Below are 20,352 nucleotides of genomic sequence, written 5' to 3'. Positions count from 1 at the left end.
TCCAAAGGAAAATTATCTCCAGGAGTTGGGTAGGGAGAATTGCCCAGATGTAGGATGTGGATGAGAGGAGGGGTCTGTTTCTTATGCTTTGACAATTCTGTTTTTAGCTCCACTTTCAATATCACTTTGAATTACCTAGCTCTACTAATTCCATATTCTTTCTAGGGTTCTCTCATACAAATCCAGCTGCAATTTTCATAGTTTTTTTGTTGTCTCCTTTCTTGTTTTTGTCCTTACGATTTTATGCTTTTGTCTTTTTCTTCTTCTGTTAAAAATATCTTTACTGCTATTTGACAAATGTTTTGAAATAGAGCAGTGGTAAATGCATGTGCTTAATCTCTAACTGGTAACCTTAGTGGTCTCCTCCGCCTAGTCTTACCCCATTCTAATTCACTTTCACAATACTGTCAAGATGATCTTGATAAAGTCACACTCTATTCTAGTCATCTCTTTATTAAAACCCTTCACTAGTTCCCATTGTCCAATGATAAATTTGATTCTTTGCATAATATACAAAGTACCCTGCATAATCTAACCCCTATCTGGTTCTCTAGCCTCATCTTGAAGAAGTATTTATGGTTTTCTAAACGCCTGATATTCTTTCCTCATCTATATTTTCGGACGTTCAGTTTCTTTTGCCTGGAGTACTCTACCCCATCATCGTCTGCATGGTAGCTGCTCCCATGTCAAGATGGTTTGTGAAGCCTTCCTTGACTGCCTTGGCTCATCATTCTAATAGTTGTTTATCCCCTTCTTTGTATCCAGGCTGTGTTCTACATAATGTAGTATTAGCATTTATCATATAATATTGCAGTTATTTGTCTACATGTCTGTTTACTGGAATTTGAGCTTCTTGATAGAGATAATATCTTAATTATTTTTGTATCTTCAGAATTTAGCAATGCCTGGCATGAGCTTGGGGTCCAATATATGGTTTCAATTTATTTGTTGCCTGATATTTACACAGGATACTGTATTTAGCTTTTGGTGGAGAAAGAGATACAAAGCTAACAGACATGTGCACATGACCATCTTTCCATGTTATTAAACATTCTACATTTAATGGCTGCTAAATATTGCATTATATGGATATACCATAGTTTGTTTAGTTAATAGCCCATTGTTAGGTATTAGTTAATGTTTCAAACTTTTTGCTGTTTTAAATCATGCTGCAGTAAAAACCTAGCTGTAGGTAAATTTTAAGGTGTACATCCATGATTACTGGACATAAATAAAATTCTTAGAAGTTAAAATGCTAAATCAGTAGTAATGTCTGTTTTAAAAGCTTTTGGTATATATCCTTCCAGGTAGGTTGTACTAATTTATATTTTCACCAGAAATTCATTGGGGGGACCCATTTTTCTGCATTCTTTCCAGTACCACTCCTGTAATTACTACCACCACCACCACCATGATCATTCTTTGCCAAAATTTGCAAGTTAAAATAATATTTTCCTGGTTTAATTTGCATTCCTCTGGTTACTAATGAGGTTGAGTATTTTGAAAATGTTTATAAATAATTTGTGTGTCATTTTATAAGTTGCCTATTTGTGTTTTTAACTGTTTTACTCTCAGGATTTTTTTTTTATCTCACTGCCTCAATTTTTTTCTGGGAGAAATGAGAGATATACTATATAGCATTGTTTATGAAAGTACATTGTGTTCTTTGACAGTGAATTTAATCTCATCTAATAATTTTTATATGTATAACTTAAAATTTTCTTAAAGCATTAATTACAGTTTCTAGAAGTCTGTGTTTGGGTTTAATGACTAAATCTCTTTTCCTAATCTTTTTTGAATATTTACCTAAAGTATTTGCAAAAGGCTAAGTTGAAGAAAACATCTGTCTCCAAAACAGAATGACACTGACTGGAAGCAGCTTCACCAAAATCTTTTGAGAATAATAAATAATTGTTTTAAAATATTTTAAAATACACAAATATACCACCTTAACCAATAGCCATTTAGTTAGGCCTATAGAGTTGTACAGACATCAAACAATCCAGTATTAGAACACTTTTTTTACCGCCAAAATTTTCTCTTGGCCATTTGCAGTTATTCCCCATTTCTATCCCAAACCCCATGCAACCACTAATCTACTTTCTGTCTTTATAGATTTGCCTTTTCTGGAGAGTTTATGTAGATTGAATCATATTATATGTGGCCTTTTGTGTCTGGTTTCTTTCATTTAGCATAATATTTTCAAGGTTCATCTATGTTGTAACATGTATCAGTACTTAATTCCTGTTATTGCTGTGTATCATTTCATTGTACAGTCATACCATATTTTGTTTATCCATTCATCAGTTGATGGACATTTCTTGGTTTTTTTTTTTTGAGACAGAGTTTCTCTCGTCACCCAGACTGGAGTGCAATGGCACAATCTCAGCTCACTGCAACCTCCACCTCCTGGGTTCAAGCGATTCTCCTGCCTCAGCCTCTTGAGTAGCTGGGATTACAGGCTCCTGCCACCACACCTGGCTAATTTTTGTATTTTTAGTAGATACAGGGTTTCACAAGGTTGGCCAGGCTGGTCTCGAACTCCTGACCTCAGGTGATCCTCTTGCCTCGGCCCCCCAAAGTGCTGGGATTACAGGCATGAGGCACAGCACCCAGCCTCTTGTTGTTTTTTAAAATATAGTTTTAGCACTTACATTTAGATTGATAATCCATCTTGAGTTGATTTTTGTATATAGTTAAAGGTGGGGGTTTGATTTCATTTGGATGTAGATATCCAGTTGTCCCAGAGCCATTTGTTGAAAAAGATTATGATTTCTACCATTGAATTGCCTTGGTACCTTATAAGGTTTTATTTCTGGACTTTGTTTCTGTTTCATTGATCTCTATGGCTATTATTGCCCATATCATGCTGTCTTGATTACTTGATTAAGTTTTAAAATTAGATAGTGTTAAATCCTACAGTTTGTTCTTATTTTTCAAGATTGTTTTTTTCTGGATCCTTTGCCTCTCCATATACATTTAAATTAAGCTTGTCTATTTCTATAAAAAGAGCCTGCTAGAATTTTCATAGGGATTACATTGAATCTGTAGATCAACTTGTGGAGAATTGCCATCTTAACAATAGTGAGTCTTTTAATCCATGAACATGGAATATATCTCCACTTATTTAGATATTCTTTAGTTTTTCTTAGCAATGTTTTTTTGTTGTCAGTGTACAGGTCTTATACTTCATTTGTTAAGTTTATTCCTAAGTATTATAATTCTTTTTGATGCTATTGTGAATGAAATTGTTTTCTTATTTTCATATTGTTTAGAACAATTATTTTTTAATAATGTCAATATGTGTATGCCATATTTAATATGCTGGCAGGAACCAGTCAATCACTGATGCTTGTCATGGGACCAAAATTCTGGGCATTAAGTACCTAGGTGCAGTTTTTGCCCTTAAAGAATGAAAGTCCTAAAAAATTTAAAGTATGTTAATACAGAAATAGTCCTGGGAATTCAATTAGAAGACATGACAAAATGCTAATAGTAAGGCTTTCTTAAGAATGCTGACTTGTATTTCTTGACAGTTTATTGATTTTTAAAATCATTATAAATGTACCCCTTTGCATTTAATATGTATCAATCAGCAAATTACTAGAATGTGCCTATGTTGACACTTCTGATCTCAAGTTAATGGTTTGTTGTAGTGCTCATCTGTGCTTCCATCATATTAAAAACTGTTATTTAGGTGAAAAAATTGCACCCCGCAGTTAGTTATTACAACAAAAAGGAGATATAGTTTGCCAGGTTGAACATAATGTTTTTCTGGCCTTTTATAGACAGCCAGCATTGAAATCACTGTCCTTAAAGCATGATCTTGCAGAATGTCTTTATAAGATAAAATGAGGTATTACACTTTAAAAACTGGGTAACATTAGGGTTTTTCTGATTGGGTGAAGAAAATTAAAGTATATTACAGCTGGCCCTTCAACAATGAAGGGTTTAGGGGTGCTAATCCCTACACAGTAAAAAACCAAATATAACTTTCGACTCCCCAAAACTTAACTACTAATAGCCTACTGTTGATGGAAGCCTTACCACTAACATAGTCAATTAACACGTATTTTGCATGTTATATGTATTATTATATACTGTATTCTTATGATAAAGTAAGCTAGAGAAAAAGAAAATGTTGTTAAGAAAATCATAAGGAAGAAAAGAAACATTTACCAGTTATTAAGTGGAATTGGATCATCATAAAGTTCTTCATTCTCTTCATCTTCATGTTGAACAGGGTGAGGAGGAAGAGGAGAGGGTGGTCTTGTCTCAAGTGTGGCAGAAGTGGAAGAAAATTCACGTATAGTGAACTTGCGCAGTTTAAACCTATGTTTTCCAAGAGTCAACTGTATATCGTTTAAATTTTTTAGTGTTTCTCTTGTAAATTGTTTTTCTTCTTGGGCACCAGTTATGGCTTATTCATGAGTAACCATTAATGAACACTAAAAGAAATGACAAAGTTTATTTGTGCATGTTAATAGAAAAACTCAGAGTATCATGCTTACTTCAACAGCTTAGTTTTACTAGCAGAAAGTTACTGTTTCATATGATAAAATTAATGGTATTCTGTGGTACTCTGCCCCTGAGAAAATTTAAGAACCACCAAGTTAAATAAATCATTATTGGAAAAGAACAGAAATGTAAATATACTCAGTGCGCTCATTTGCTTATAGGTAGCTAAGACCCACCAAAACCTATACTCCCAATTTAATGACTACCCTGTATGTCACTTTTAGGGTATAATGAGTCAAAAAGCAGTTAACACCTCATCCTAACAAAACATAAATGTCAACTAGACAGTTATTTGCCTGAAAGCTAGGGAGAGCAGAAAAAAAAAAAAGTCTTGTCCATTGTTTGCACAGTTTCCAAACAGATAGATGAGTGTTTTTTTCTTATGTGTTTTCTAAAACGTAAAGCTATTGAAATTGCTATGTAAAATTTTGTTAATCATGTGTTGAAAGGAATACGTAAATTATGTTCATGGGATATTTTGGCCTTAGATTAATGATTGTGTGACTTTTTCTCCTATAGGCATGCTGCGAAGGAAGGTAGAAGTGGTAACACGGGTTTTCGAGGATTATCGTCACGAGGAGCATGCACACAATGTCAACACTGCTTTTTAGTGAATGACCATATCTTCAGCATGTCGTTTCTGGATTATTACCTACAAATTCTGATGTTAAATAGAGTAGTATTTATACTTAATATTTCATCTTGATCATAATGAATTGTGCATCCTTTTTTTCATTTAAGTATTGTACTGTTGAGAATTATACCTTAGTTTTGTTTTTAGTATTAGAAAATCAAAATTATACTAGCCCCTTTGTCCAGACAGCAACCTCTTAGATGCTGACTCTATATGTGTAATTTATGTCTTACTCTCCCTGGCATCAGTACACATCATCCTTCTCACTCCAGTTGAATCATAGGGTGATGTCTGCCAAAAGTACATGCCAACCTATATAGTGCTAGATACTGTAAAGTCTCTTCTCCTCAAAGGAACCTACTGTCTAGTTTGAGATATAATTAATGCTTGTCTGCATAAAAACAATATAGATAATATAAAGAAGTGCAGTATGAATTATAGAAAGTGTGTTATAGAGATTCAGAGCAGGGAGGAAAAGTTAGGGTAGATTATTATTAAAGGGTTAAGGAAAGGTAAGTTTCAAGGAATTTGGTTATTTTTAATGTATGGATATACTGGCATTTTATTTGGTTTTAGCATATGATTTATAGTTGGTGATTTCCGTATATTTGTTTGTTTTTCTTTTTTTTTGTTTGTTTGTTTTGTTTTGTTTTAAATAAGCCTTGTTCTTAGGTTTGGAACAGTCTGGTCTCCTGTGTTTCATGTTTCACCTAAGTCATAAATAAAGGTAATGTCCTAAAAAAAAACATGTAATACTGAAATTAACTATTAAAAGTTTTTAAGTGACTAGAGCTCAGTAACCTATAATTTATTGAGCTAAATTTTCTGTTGTACTGATTGCACACGACCATCGTGGCGGGTACACATTACACGAAGAAATATTTTTGAAATGAATATTAGCAACGATTAGTCTTATGAGCAGACTAAATGCCAAAATTGACATGGACTCTTTTTTTTCTACTCAAACTTTTCCAAGCAGCAGCTTCTTATCCAGTAAGTTTTTGTAACCACGCAGAATTATAGAATGTGAAAATAATCCAGAACTCATATAATCTTGTGAATTATTTCTGTAGATACACAACTTTTAAGTATAATCTTTAGTAATCTCTAATTTTTCAGTTCAGTATTATTACTCTTATACTGTAGATAAGAGTAATACTAAAGACATTTTTTCCCATTGCTTTTGGAGATTCAACTCTTGTAAAGTAGCCTGTGTACAAGTTCTACATTCAGTAATGAAAATATAGTTTATCAGAAGAAACACTGACTCTAGTCTTGTTCCTGCCTAATTAACTGGACAAATAATTTCATCTTGGGCATTATCTTTGTCCATAAATGAAAGAGTTGGATCATATTAGGGTTTCCCAAACTGTTTTGTGAGAAGGAACTGGTTTTCATTTCTCTGAAGTTTTGAGATTCCTTTATGTCTTTTCACTGTGAGTAGAGTGCTTACTCTATATTTCCTAAGTAAAATAAAGAAAAAGGAGACTACAATACTGCTTATACTATCTTACTGTTACATTATCTTCAGTGGGAGTTCTAGTGTTTTTCCTAGTACATAGAAGATGCCAGAGGATAGCAACTGGCTTCTAGATTGATCTAGTAATGTTATTAAGACTTACAGGGTGATCTCAGTATACTGTCTGGAATTGTACATTGGACTAAATCATAAATCATCTCTAAGATTCTTCCTGACCATTTCTAACATGTAAAGAAATGACATTGTTGAACAATTTTTTTTTGTTTGTTTTTTGAGACAGGGTCTTGCTCTGTCACCTAAGCTAGAGTGCAGTGCCGTGATCTTGGCTCACTGCAACCCCTGCCTGCTGGGCTGAAGTGATTCTCCTACCTCAGCCTCCCAAGTAGTTGGGACTACAGGTGCACACCACCACACCTAGCTAATTTTTGAGTTTTTTGTAGAGATGGGGTTTTGCCATGTTACCCAGGCTGGTCTTGAACTCCTGGGCTCAAAGGACCCACCCGCCTTGGCCTCCCAAAGTGCCAGGATCACAGGCGTGATCCACCGTGCCCAGTCACGTTGACAAATCTTAATTAAAAGGTCAGAAATACAGAAATAAGCTATTTTTACCAGTAATGTTAAAGCATCATTTATGTTAGGCACTGGAGTCTTCAGCCCCTCGTAACCATTGTTAACCAGCTGACATATTAGCTGAAGAATTCTTAAATTTAAAGTGTTGACACTATCCCAGTACATACCCATTTTTTAATCCTTTGAAAAGATGCTATATTTGTTCTCTATAACAGCATTTATGCTATTTCATTTGGGAAATTTGAAAGACTTGCACAGTTGTTTACTCTTAATATAAGATGGTGAGTAGATTCAAGAGAAGATTTTTGGTTTTAACATCTTCTTCCATATCTTGGAATCATAACTGCTTCATAATGTAGTCTTCAGAAGCGTGCCACAAACAAAGCACCTAAAAAGGACAAACTCAGAAAATGTGTCTCTGTTAAGAAGGAGCTTCTGGATTAATTAAACTAACCTTGTTAAATTGACAGAAAGACAAATGAGGCATATTTTTCGGTTTGTCATAAATTCTTCTAGGGGTAAAATTGTGAAATTAGGTAAGATCTCTGTGCCCATGTATAACATCTAGAGATCTCCAAGGCTTTGTATACACTGTCTGATGTCCTTTTAAGCTGGGGAGAAGAATGTTGTGGGAAACAGAATAACTATTATTACACAGTTAACAAGTTTGGCAGAATTAGAAATGGCCTGGTTTTCTTTTTAGTGTAATTTTCTGAATGTTTGTCTGTTTGTACCTATCACTTGCGCTGGTTACAGTTATACACAGGTATGTAGAGTACTTCTTATGACCTTGCTTTCCAGTTGCAATTCCACAGCTATGTGAATATGTATCTTAGCTATTCGTTCTCCACTCATCCCACCTAGTGGATTTGCAATGTAGTGTGTATCATTTCAGTATCAATAGGCTATATGTTTTATTAGAAGTTGTACACAAGTTTGGTGTGATGGTTGGTGTAATATTTGTTCCATCCTTTGCCACCGTCCCAGGGGATAAGCACACTAGCAACCTTGGTGTATTTTTCCATTTCCTTGTCAATATGTCAATTGGGACAGATTGGTTGAGCCACAAAATTCAGCTCTACCACCATATAGGATTTACCTGGTGCAGGCAATGATGTGACCCCCCGTTTTGTTTATACTTATATTCAGTTCACGTTCTGTGCCAAAGCTACAAAGTGGTACATGCTATGCCTGCAGTCATTCACCTTTATGATTCAAGAGCACAGTTATTTGCATGTGACAGGTCTTAGGTAGCTCACCATGACATTTTCAATCTGATAGAAGTTCTCAGGACAGGAAATTCTACAATGTTTTTCAGTAGCTGCTTTTTGGTCCTTTGCTCTAACTTGAGCATGGAAATACAAAGCAGTTTGGATAAGTCTAAATCTACTGATTAACATTTGACTATTTACTCATAGATTACCACTCAATCATGGAATAACTTTAAAACCATACCTTTGTATGTGCTTGACAGTCACCCTATACTTAGGAGGTATCCTCATTTTACAGATGAGAAAACTGGCCTAGACCAGTTAAGAAACTTACTGAAACCCACATGGTCTAGTAACTTACCAGAGCAAAAATTCAAGTCCAGATTGCCTCTAAAACCCTGTCGTGCTATACTGTCAACTGAGAAGTGAGATTCAAATCCAAGTAGTGTGCCCCGCCCCCCACCATTACCTACAATCTTTTCTTCTTTGGCTTCTTGAGATGTAAGAGGGTTTCTCTTTAATTAAAAAAGTATTGACTAGGTAATGTAGTCATGGGTTCAAAATTCAAAGGGCACAAAAAGATACGTGAAGAATTTTTTCTGCCCTTGTCCCTCAGCCATCCAGTTCCCCTACCTGGAGGCATTCACTCATCATTTGTCTGTAAGTTCTCCCAAACATATTTTGTGCATATACAAGCAAACACACATATATATGTTTTTAAGTGACTAGAGCTCCCCTTTTTATGCAAATAGAAGCATAGTATACATATCGTTCTGCACCTTGCTATTGCACTAACTATATTTTGGAGATTGTTTAGTAGCAGTTCATAGAGAACTTTGTCATCTTGGTAACTGCTGCATAGTTTTTCATTGAATGATACATTTTCATAGTATGTTCTTGGATATTTTCATTTCTGTTTTCATAAACAATGTTGCAAGGAATGATAGTAGGTTAGAGGATATATAGTATTGAGGATTCTATTCATAACTGAATTGCTGCTTTAAAGGGAATGTACATTTATGATTTTAGTAGTATCCTCATTTGCCCCCAATAGATGTTGTACCAATTTATATTCCTACCACTAGTGTATTGAGAGCGCCCGTTTCCCCACAATCTCAATAAAACAAGTGTGTTATCAAACTTTTGGATCTTTCCCAATCTGTTAGGTGAAAAATGGTAGTTTAATGTACTTTTAAAAATAAACTTTAAGTTCTAGAACAGTTTTAGATACAGAAAGGTTGCATAGTACAAAGTTCCACATACGTACAACTCAGTTTCCCTTGCATAACTCTGATACATTTGTCACAGCTAACGAACCTTGTTATTAGCTAAAGAGCATAGTTTGTTCACATTTCCTTAGTTTTTACCTCATGTCTTTTTTTCTTTTCCAGGATCCCATCCAAGATACTGCATTACTTTAGTCATCATGACTCCTTTGGTTCCTTTTGGCTGTGACAGATTCTTGTGTTTTTGATGACCTTGCTAGTTTTAAGGAGTACTGGTAGTCAGTGTACTTTAAAATTTGTGAGATTGGACATCTTTTCATACACTTAAAGACATTTGCATTTCCATTTCTGGAAACTAAGAGCCTATGCTTTTAACCACTATACTATACCTCTTTCTTGATTCACCATAATTATCAATAAAACATATGTGGGCCTGAACATACACAGACTTCTGATTCTGAGTGGAGAAAACTCTCAAGTCTCTGTTACAGATAGAGGAGAACCATTAGTACAGGTGATATAGTCAGACTCGTGTCTGATGACTCTGGCTACATCGTGAAGGATGAAGCAGAGGCTCGACTGGAAACGGTAGGTAGGCTGGATAAATCCTTGAAAGAAAAGCAGTGTTGATAAGTTCAAAGGAAATTACAGAAGAGCCAGGAATTAGTGGTAATGGATGAGAGAATCAAGAAGTCAAAGGTGACTCGTTTTATGAGCTGGATATTTTGGGTCTTCTTTTGAACCTAAATGAGAAATTCAAAATAAATATTTGGACAATGTTCAGCATACCTGTCACTTGAGATCTACTTTCTCTTTCTGTTGCCATAGCTCTGTGCTACTACAATTCCCAGAGCCCCATGCTCCATCACAATACCCTTAGAAGTCCGCCGCGCGGAGTTCTGGGACTTGAGGTCCGCGGCCTATTTACCCAAGTTGGAGGTAGGGGCCTGTGGAAACATGAAGAGGTAAGGACTTGTCTGAAGAGCAGGCGGCAAGGGGAGCTTTGTTCTACCTTTTCTTTTGAAAATGGCTTCCATTGCTTTCTGGTTTGGGTATTGCACGTTCTCAGGATGCGGTTTCGTGGGAGCGGGAACACGACAAAGGAGACGGGAGGAGGGGAGACGGGCTGAACAGGCCTGCAGAGCGAAGTTCAGGAAGGGCTGCCACCGGGGCCGGCTGCTGTGGGAATGCCCTCCCGGCACGGGCCCCGGGAGCTGGCCGGGTGCTGCGGCTTCGTCGTTTCACCCGGACCCAGCTGGGCAAAAGGGTTTGAGGCTGACAAATTCCCGGCGCCGGAGATGTAGGTACCTCGGGCCAGCCCCTCGCCGTTCTCCCCTACCTCCACCTCCACCTGAGAAAGGCTCGGGGCGGGCGCATTTATTTGCAACGTCTGTGTGTTAAAGACTACTTGCTTGGGCCCCGAAACCATGTAGCGCTTTCGAATCTTAAAGTAAGGGAGCGGTACTTTGTTTCTAAATGTGGAAGGACAGCACCAAAGCGGTTCGATTTATGGGGTGGGGGGAGGGGAGGTGGAAGGCATTGCTGGGCTCAGTTCCCCTTACTTGTCCTGAGGTAAATGGCCGCTTGAGCCTAAATGGCCTGAGCCTCCTAACTATTGACGGGCTTAAATTAATTTTAGATTCACTCTGCAAGTAGAATCATCACTCTGGAATAGTGCAGTGCATTTAAAATTCTTACTGATATGCTTTCCTGCACTGTCAGTTCCTTGCATCTTTTAAAAAACCGTTTATGACTTTGCCTGCCTGAAACTAACCTTTAATATTTTTTTATGATATCTCCTCCATGCGAAATAATGTATAATGTATATATACAGCTTAAAGAATAATAAAGGTTCGCATCCACTACAAGCTTAAGAAATAGGACATTGCCAGTCCCTTAGAAGTCTACTGTGTCTCTTCCCTCCCTTCGTTCCCCCCTGAGGTGACCACTATCCGGAATTTTGTGTTATTAATTCCCTTGCTTTTAAAAAAGCAAATAGTTTCTAGTACATATGAATTTATCCCTAAACAAAATGTTCCTAGTCATGTATTTGAAGTATTCCTGATACTTCATGCTGGCGTTTCTATTGTAAAAGCTACTAGACTCAATGTGGCTAAAACAATACTGACTTTCCCTTTCCCAAATCATTTATTCCATCTGGAGCTTTGTCTTTCCTTCATTGGTACCATTGTTCTCTCAGTTACACAGACTGAAATTTTGGGATTATCTTTGACTTCCTTGCCTCTGCCTCCAAAAGGCCTCTCTCATCTAACCCTTTCTTTCCATTTTCACTATTACCATTTCAGTCTAGACCTTCATCACCTTTTACTTCAGTAGTTTCATAACTAGTTCTTCTTGTTTCTTCCCTTTGAATCTCTATGGCATATTATAACCACATTCATCTGTCTAAACCATCACTTGCACTGTGTCACTTAACTGTTTGATAAATTACTACTTCTTATTATCCTTCAGTATATATTACTATCCCTTTGTACTCTCTTTCCCTGTTCTCCTTTTCTGCATCACACACCTTTGAATGTCAGCTTAAAAGTACCTTTCTGAAGTCTTCCTTTACCACCTTTATCTCCCAATTTTCTCTTCTGTGAATTTCTACTAATTTGGCATATGCTTCTATGTGTTATTATTCTCTCCTCCCCCCGCTGCCAAGGCACATGCACACAACACATAAACACACACTTCTTCTCCCTAAATAGATTGTGGGCTTCTTGAGGATAGGGACTATGTCTTAAACACCTTTGACTTCCCTCAGTACCTAGCATAGTGCCTTCTGTGTAAACAGGTATTTAGTAAGTGTTCATGGACTAAATGGTAAAGGGCAATGAATTGTTGGAGAAGTGTCTTTGAATAAATGGGGTCAGTAATGGTAGATAATATAGATAAGGAATATATTTTGAGACTCACAGTCTCTTCCGTTTTCTGTATATATTCTTATGTCTACTCCAGGGTAAACAGCTGTGTGAAGAGTGATGAGCATGTCCTGGAGGAGCTGGAAACAGAAGGGGAGAGGCAGCTGAAAAGCCTCCTTCAGCATCAACTTGATACTTCTGTCTCCATTGAGGAGTAGGTATTGATTTTGCAAACGGAGAGTATCATAGACTCTTACCTCCAGGTGACAGATCTCTCTTAAAGCCTAGATGGAATGTTCCTCTCCCACCTCCCTTTCTTTGTTAGACTTCAATGTATTAGGTAGGGTTTTAATTCTGTGTCTCTTCCTCTGGGAAGCCTCCCATATCTCACTAAGTCTGAGCCAAGTACCTATTTTATGTCCTCCTACAGCATCCCATATTTCCCTTAACATAGCACTTGTAACCCAATATTATCATTGCCTGTTTACTTGCCTCTGTTCCACTGTTTTTCCACAAAAGCAGGAGCCATTTTTATCTTTTTTATAAAGCTATTAAATCCTTAGTACCTAGCAGAGTATCTGATGCATAGTAAGTACTCAATAAATATTTGTTGATTTAGTTTATTATTCCTGGATGACGGCACTCTCGATGGAGTTCCATTTTGTTGCAGTGGTGCTTCAGCTTAGAAATAAGATGTAAGAGAAAATTTGCTGGTGAGTTTCATTGTACCTCTTACAGTGCTGAACCTCCATTTTTGTGAATGATAGTAACCTCAAGATGTTCTTACTCTCCTCCTGCATGTTTTGCAGATGTATGTCTAAGAAAGAGAGCTTTGCTCCTGGTACTATGTACAAGCCCTTTGGGAAGGAAGCAGCTGGGACTATGACTTTGTCCCAATTCCAGACACTGCATGAGAAGGACCAGGAAACTGCTTCTCTCAGGGAATTAGGGCTTAATGAAACAGAAATCTTGATCTGGAAGAGCCATGTTTCTGGTGAAAAGGTGAGTGGGGTAATGTTTTTTTTTGTTGGTTTTTCTCCTCAAAGAAACAGAGCAAAATATCTTCATTTTAGCACTGAGAGCCTTTTCATTTCTAGTTCTCACAAAACTGAGCTTGGTGTCTGAATCTTCTTTGATTTTTAGAATGCAGACATTGGTAAAAGAGAAGCTGTTCTTTAACTTCTTAGCTAACACTTTCTGTAAACATTCATTTCTGGGCCTAGGTCATCTTTTTACTTGAGATACCAGATCATCATGTTCAGGTTGTGCCCTCTATGATACATGCCATCTCATTCCTCTGGTTTCAGAAGACAAAACTGAGGGCAACTCCTGAAGCAATACAGAACCGTCTTCAAGATATTGAAGAAAGGATCTCGGAGCGTCAGCGCATTCTTTGCCTGCCACAGAGATTTGCAAAGAGCAAACAGCTGACCCGGCGAGAAATGGAAATAGAAAAGTCTTTATTTCAGGGAGCTGATCGTCACTCCTTCCTTAAGGCTCTTTATTACCAAGGTATGTGATCCCCACTGACTTTGATATATTCTTTCACTGAGAGAAAGATTAAACAGCAGGGCATTAAATATGAAGAGTTAGTGAAGGGAATAGGGGAAAGACAAATTGTCACTACTTTTGAGAAATGTATAATACCATAAGAGAGACAAATATGTGCACAGTTAGTTGCATGACAACATGGAAACTGCTATTATAGAGATTTGAATAAAATGCTGAGGTAGTGCAGAACACAGAGCATCTAAGTCTAGTTGGGGGAGTCAGAAGTTGACATTTATACTAACTCCTGATGGATCAATGGGCATTTGTCAGGTAAATAAAGGGGAATGGAGATTAAAGGTAGTAAATAGCAACAGGATTATGAAAGAACCTGGTGTGTCTAAGGAACAATGAGAAGTTTAACGTGGCAGGAGTAGAAGAAGTGGCAGGGAATGACAGGAGGTGACACTGGAAGGAAGGGGAGGCGAAGCTAGATTGTGAAGGGTCTTTAGGCTGAACTACAAATTAGCACAAAATATATAGATAAATAGTATGTGTCTTAACCAGAAGGATTTAGTTTGACAGATAAGTTTTACTAGACGCTGTGGAAGGTGCATGGAAGTTTAAGAAATGGTTCCTCACCTTGTGCCAAGTATAGTCTGGTTGGAGAGATAAACATGTAACATTTAGTGACAATACTAGATACATTTGTTAAGTGTTGTTGGAGTTCAGAGGAGGCAAAGGCCACTGTGTATTGGTGTGATTGAAGAAGCCCTCTCAGAGGAGGTAAGATTTAAATGTTCTTTTAATACTACCTATTCTTTAGAAAAGAGAGGTAATGACATTTCAGTTGCAACAGATGGTGTGAGCACTAGGGAGTGTGCTAACTATGGAGGAGATGTGAGACAAGGTTAGAAAGGTAGCTAAAAATTTTGAACTGTATTTGGTAACTAGTATAGACTTATACAGAGTTAGTTATCAGTTAGTTTCAATATGGTTGAAGGTTTTTGAACCAGAAGTGACATGATAAAAGCCATATTTGAAAATTATTAATCTGGTGGTCAATAAATAGGATTAGAGAGAGGAAGAACTGGAAGCAGGCAGAATGGATAGGAGATATTACAGTCATTTAGGCATGAAGACTTGGTCTAGAGTGATAGCAGTGAAATTGGAGAGAGGTAGGTTTATAATGGAAGAACTAATAAAACTCGTTGACTGAAAATGAAGGAGGGAGGTCAATGCAGAGGTATGTGTCAAAGATAATCCAGAGGTTTCAAGGCTGTGTGACTTACCAATTGGCAAAATTAAGAAAGCCTTTATGGGGAAATTTCGAGGAAGGATGATGAGTTTGATTTTAAACATGTGGAATTTGTGAGAATGGCAGGATCATCAAATGCAGATGTTGAGGAGACAGTTGGAAATGCAGCCGTGAAGCTCAGGAGAGAGGTCAGAACTAGATATATAGAACTGGGAATCATCTATCCTTAGATAACATGTTAAGGCCGTGAGAATGGATGAATGATTTGTTAGAGATAGAAGGATCATAGACATGGCAGAGCAGTGGTGAAGGAAGGAATGAATGAACAAATGAATAACCTTTTGTGGAGAGACATTTAGCATAATGATTAAGAACATGGGCTCTGGAGGCAGACTGCCTGGGAAAATCCTGGCTCCCCCACTTAACTAGCTATGAGATGCTAGGCAAGTTACCTCTCTATGCTTCAGTATCTTCATCTGTAAAATGAGAATATTAATAGTAGCTATGTTACAGGGTTACTAAGAGGATTAAGTGAGAGAATACATGTAAATCACTTAAAGCAGTACCTGGTATTTGGGGTGGAGGGTGGGTGGTTTATGAATCTGTTCTGTTTCCTATCTTTGAAACTCCTTGCTTTAAACCTTCACAGCATACCACAAAAAGACAAGTGCAGACAAGTACATGACCTCAATGAAGAGGAAGATAAAATTAGGCACAAAAGGCAAGTCGAGAGTTTTCTTATAGTGTTAGACTTAGGAATGTAACCTAGGGTCCCAGTTGAGCACTTATTTAATTCCATATTCAGTATATGACAATGTTTATAGGAAATGATCCAGAGGGAGCATATTATCCTGATACAGAATATTAAAGAGAGGAGTTAGTAGAAGTTGTAAAGCTTTTACATTTACTGCTGTTGTTTTTTCTCTATACATTTAAATTATTGTACCAGACATAAATTGACCTTAATGATTTTTAGATCCCATTTCACAAATAATTCTGAATATTTTTATTAGTCAGTAAAGTATAATTATTGATGATGATGATGATATGATAGCTAATATTTTCTTACTTTTGAAATGAACTTCCAATAAAATTGCATGGGGCTTCTTCTTTTTTGGTGTACAATTCTATGAATTGTAAATCATGTAGATTCATGTAACCACCACCACAATCAAGAAAGAGAATAGCTTCATCACCTTAAAAAACTCCCTCATGCTGTCCCTTTATAGTCATTCCCAACCCACCATAATTCCTGACAATCACTGACTGTTTTCCATCACTGTAGTTTTATCTTTTAGAAAATGTCATGTAAATGGAATCACACAACATGTAACCTTGTGAGACTGGCTTCTTTCACTCAGCATAATGCCTTTGAGACTCATTTGAGTTGTTGCGTGTATCAATAGTTCATTTATTTTGTTGAGTAGTGTTTCATCATATGGACATTCCAAAGTTTGTTTATCCATTCACCCATTGAAGTGCATTCGGGTTGTTTCCAGGTTATGATGGCTATGCATAATATTGATATGAACGTTCTTGTACAGGTTTTTTTGTGAACATAAGTTTTTATTTCTCTAAGGTAAATATCTAGAAGTGGGATTACTGGGTCATATGGTAAGTGTACATTTAACTTTATATGAAACTGCCAAACCATTTTCCAGAGTGGCTGTACCATTTTGCATTTTCACCAGCAATGTATGAAAGTTCGAGTTGCTCTACATCTTTGTCAGCACTTGGTATTGTCAGTATTTATTTTGGTTATTTCAATAGCTGTGAAGTGGTACCTCATTGTAGTTTTAATTTGCATTTCTTTAATGGCTAATGATGTTGAACATCTTTCATTTGCTTATTTGCCATCCTTATATCCTGTTTGCTAAAGTGTCTGTTCAAATCTTTTGCTGTTTTATAATTGGGTTGTTTATTTTCTTCCTGATGACTTTTGAGAGTTCTTTGTATATTCTAAACACAATCTTCTGTTGGATATGTGATTTTCACACATTTTTTCCCAGTCTGTAGCTTGTCTTTTCATTCTCTTAACAGTGTCTTTTGCAGGGCAAACTTTTTTTATTGTGGTAAAATATACATAAAATTTACCATTTAAACCACTTTTAAGTGTGTAGTTCTATGGCATTAAGTACTTTCACATTGTTCTGCAACTATCACAGCCATCCATCTCCAGAAATTTTTCATCTTCCCAAACTGAAACTCTGTACTTATTAGATACTAACTCCCCGTTTTCTCCATCCCCACCAGCCTCTGGCAACCACCATCCTACTTTCTGTTTCTATGAATTTGACTACTCTCAGTATATAAGTGGAATCATACAATATTTGTCCTTTTGTGACTGGCTTTAGTTAGCATAATATCTTCAAGATTCATCTAAGTTGTAGCATGTGTCAGAATTTTCTTTTTAAGGTGGAATAATATCCCATTGTATGTATATAGCACATTTTGTTTATCAATTGATGGATGCTTAAGTTGTTTCCATGTTTTAGCTTTTGTGAATAATGCTGCTACGAACATGGGTATACAAATATCTGTTTGAATACCTGCTTTCAATTATTGTAGGTATATACTCAGAAATGGAATTGCTGGATCACATCTTAATTCTACATGTAATTTTTTGAGAAACTGCCATATCAGTTTCCATAGAGACTGTACCATTTTACATTCCCACCAGCAATGCACAAGATAAGAGTTCCAGTTTCTCCATACCCTTGGCAACACTTACTATTTTCTTAAAAAATAATAGCCGTCCTAATGGGTATGAAATGTTATCTTATTGTGGTTTTGATTTCAATTTCCCTGATGATTAGTGCTGTTGAGCATCTTTTCACATGCTTTTTGGCCATTTGTATATCTTCTTTGGAGATGTATCTGTTCAGATCTCTTGTCCATTTTTAAAATAAGTTTCTTGTTTGTTGTTGAGTTGTAGAAGTTCTATATATATTCTGTATATTAATTCCTTATAAGATATATGACTTGCAAATATTTTCTCCTATTCCAAGAATTGCCTTTTCACTCTGTCCTTTGATGCACAAAGTGTTTAATTTCGATGAAGTCCAATTTGTTGATTTTTTTCTTTTGTTGTCTATGCTTTTGGTGTCATATCCAAGAAATCATTGCCAAATCCATTGTTATGAAATGAAGGCTTTTCCTTATGTTATCTTCTGAGAGTGTTATAGCTTTAGCTCTCATGTTTAGGTCTTTGAACCTTTTGAGTTAATTTTCGTATATGGTATTAAGGTAAAAATTCAGCTTTATTATTTTCATGTTGATATTCAGTTTTCCCAGTGCCAGTTGTTGAAAAAAGACTGTTCTTTCCACACTGAATGATCCTGGCACCCTATTCAAAAATCATTTGACTATATATACCTGTCTTTATGCCAGTACCACACTGTTTTAATTACTGTAACCTTGTAGTAAGTTTTGAAATCAGGAAGTGTGAGAACTCCAACTTTGTTCTTTTTCAAAATTGTTTTGGATATTTGGGGATTGGTTGAGATTCCATATGAATTTTAGAATGGATTTTTCTATTCCTGTAAAAAAATGTTATTGACGTTTTGGTAGGACTTACATTGAATCTGTATATCACTTTGGTTAGTATTGATGTCTTAACAGTATTGTCTTCTAAGTCATGAACATGGGATGTCTATTTATTTGTGTCTTGTTTAATTCCTTTCAGCAACATTTTGTAGTTTTCAGTGTATAAGTCTTTTACCTCACAGAAAATGTTTTCAAGTATTGTTTCAAATCTTGTTTATCAGTTGATCCTTTCATGGGTTGCCTTTTATGTATGTGCATTTATATGTATCTAACAACTCTACCTGTTCATGAAAAAGATATTTTCCTATGTTTTCTTCTGATAGTTATATAGTTATACATTTTACATTTAGATCTATGATCCATTTTGACTACTTGATGTTTATATAAGGTATGAAGTTTAGGTTAAAGTTCACTTATTTTTTTTTTTTGGCTTCAAATGTCCTGTTGTTTTAGAACCAACTGTTAAAAGAGTATCCTTTCTCCATTTACTTGCCTTTGCATTTTTGTCAGAAATCAATTGGCCGAATTTGTGTGTTAATACTTAACCTCATAATTAATGGTGAAAAGTTGAAATTCTTCCCCAAAGATCAAAAATAAGATAAGGATGTCCACTCTTGCCACTTCTGTTCACAGTGGAATGAAATTCGAAATAAATAACAGAAGGACATTTAGGAAAATTACAAATATGTGGAAATTAACACTCTACCAAACAGTCAATGAATTAAAAGGAAATCAAAAGGAATATTAGAACATATTTTGAGGTAAATTAAAACACAGCATGCCAAAAACTTATGGAGTAAAATAAAATCAGTGTTTAGGGGGATATTTAGCTGTAATGCCCATAGTTGTATATGCCCATATTAATAAAGAAAAAAGATTTCAAATTAATAACTGAAATCTCCACCTTAAGAACTTATTAAAAGAAGAGCAAACTAAATCCAAATCAAGCTGATGAAAAGAAATAATAAAAAATGGAGCAAAAATAAATGACATAGAGGAAATAATAGAGGAAGTCAACAAAACCAAAAGTTAGTTCTTTGAAAAGATCAACTTAATTTATAATCCCTTAGCTAGACTGATCAAGTTAAACAGAAAGAAGACTCAAATTTCTAAAACTCAGCTCCACTTTGGTTCTTATTTGTATGGGACATCTTTTTCCATCTTTTTGCTTTTAATCTATTTGTGTTTTTGAACCTAAAGTGTGTCTCATGACAGCAAATAGTTTGGATTATATTTTCTCTTTTTAATCAATTATTTCAATCTCTGCCTTTTGAGTGGAGAGTTTAGTTCATTTATTTTAATGTATTTAATTAGAGTCTGTTAAGGATTTACATCTGCTATTTTGCTTTTTGTTTTCTGTTTCTCTTCTATCTTTTTTGTTCCTCTGTTCCTCCATTTATTCCTTCTTTTATGTTAAATAGATTTTTCCAATGTGCCATTTTAATTAACTTCTTGCCTCTTTTACTGTTTTTGTGTATGTGTGTGTGTGTTAGTGGTTGCTCTGGGGATTACAATTAACCTCTTGGCTTAAATAAATTAATTTGTATTAAAACC

At 35.9% G+C, this 20,352-nt stretch overlaps 2 protein-coding genes across 33 annotated transcripts in view, besides 2 other annotated features; both read left to right on the top strand.

The window, feature by feature from the left end:
* NUP62CL (nucleoporin 62 C-terminal like) overlaps window positions 1–5,943 on the top strand; it is an 83,007-nt gene extending 77,064 nt beyond the window's left edge. For all 3 annotated transcript variants that reach the window (NR_033676.2, NM_001433614.1, NM_017681.3), the window contains one exon: window positions 5,038–5,943. Coding sequence is in view for 1 of the 3 variants with exons in the window: in NM_001433614.1 (NP_001420543.1) it covers window positions 5,038–5,224 (187 nt within the window). In the remaining 2 variants the exon portion in view is untranslated. The remainder of the gene's footprint in view (window positions 1–5,037) is intronic.
* RBM41 (RNA binding motif protein 41) overlaps window positions 10,548–20,352 on the top strand; it is a 66,721-nt gene continuing 56,916 nt past the window's right edge. For 7 of the 30 annotated variants that reach the window (NR_136728.2, NR_136730.2, NM_001394119.1 and 4 more), the window contains exons 1-5: window positions 10,548–10,604; window positions 12,604–12,720; window positions 13,316–13,508; window positions 13,814–14,018; window positions 15,902–15,973. Coding sequence is in view for 25 of the 30 variants with exons in the window: in NM_001394119.1 (NP_001381048.1) it covers window positions 10,597–10,604; window positions 12,604–12,720; window positions 13,316–13,508; window positions 13,814–14,018; window positions 15,902–15,973 (595 nt within the window). In the remaining 5 variants the exon portion in view is untranslated. Of the gene's footprint in view, window positions 10,605–10,784; window positions 10,940–12,603; window positions 12,721–13,125; window positions 13,220–13,315; window positions 13,509–13,813; window positions 14,019–15,901; window positions 15,974–16,831; window positions 16,867–20,352 lie in introns of those variants that run through there. The other 23 variants (NR_136732.1, NR_136731.1, XM_011530980.4 and 20 more) reach the window with 7 other exon arrangements.
* Window positions 10,595–10,784: an enhancer, noted in NCBI's record as "active region_29832". NCBI's record gives its function as "activates an Ori minimal core promoter by ATAC-STARR-seq in GM12878 lymphoblastoid cells {active_cell/tissue: GM12878}" and the evidence as "EXISTENCE:reporter gene assay evidence [ECO:0000049][PMID:35858748]".
* Window positions 11,165–11,244: an enhancer, noted in NCBI's record as "active region_29831". NCBI's record gives its function as "activates an Ori minimal core promoter by ATAC-STARR-seq in GM12878 lymphoblastoid cells {active_cell/tissue: GM12878}" and the evidence as "EXISTENCE:reporter gene assay evidence [ECO:0000049][PMID:35858748]".

This window comes from Homo sapiens, chromosome X, assembly GCF_000001405.40.
Source record: "Homo sapiens chromosome X, GRCh38.p14 Primary Assembly".
Taxonomy (NCBI): Eukaryota; Metazoa; Chordata; class Mammalia; order Primates; family Hominidae; genus Homo; species Homo sapiens.
Note: the sequence above shows the minus strand (reverse complement) of the source record. Positions and strands in the feature narration are given on the sequence as shown.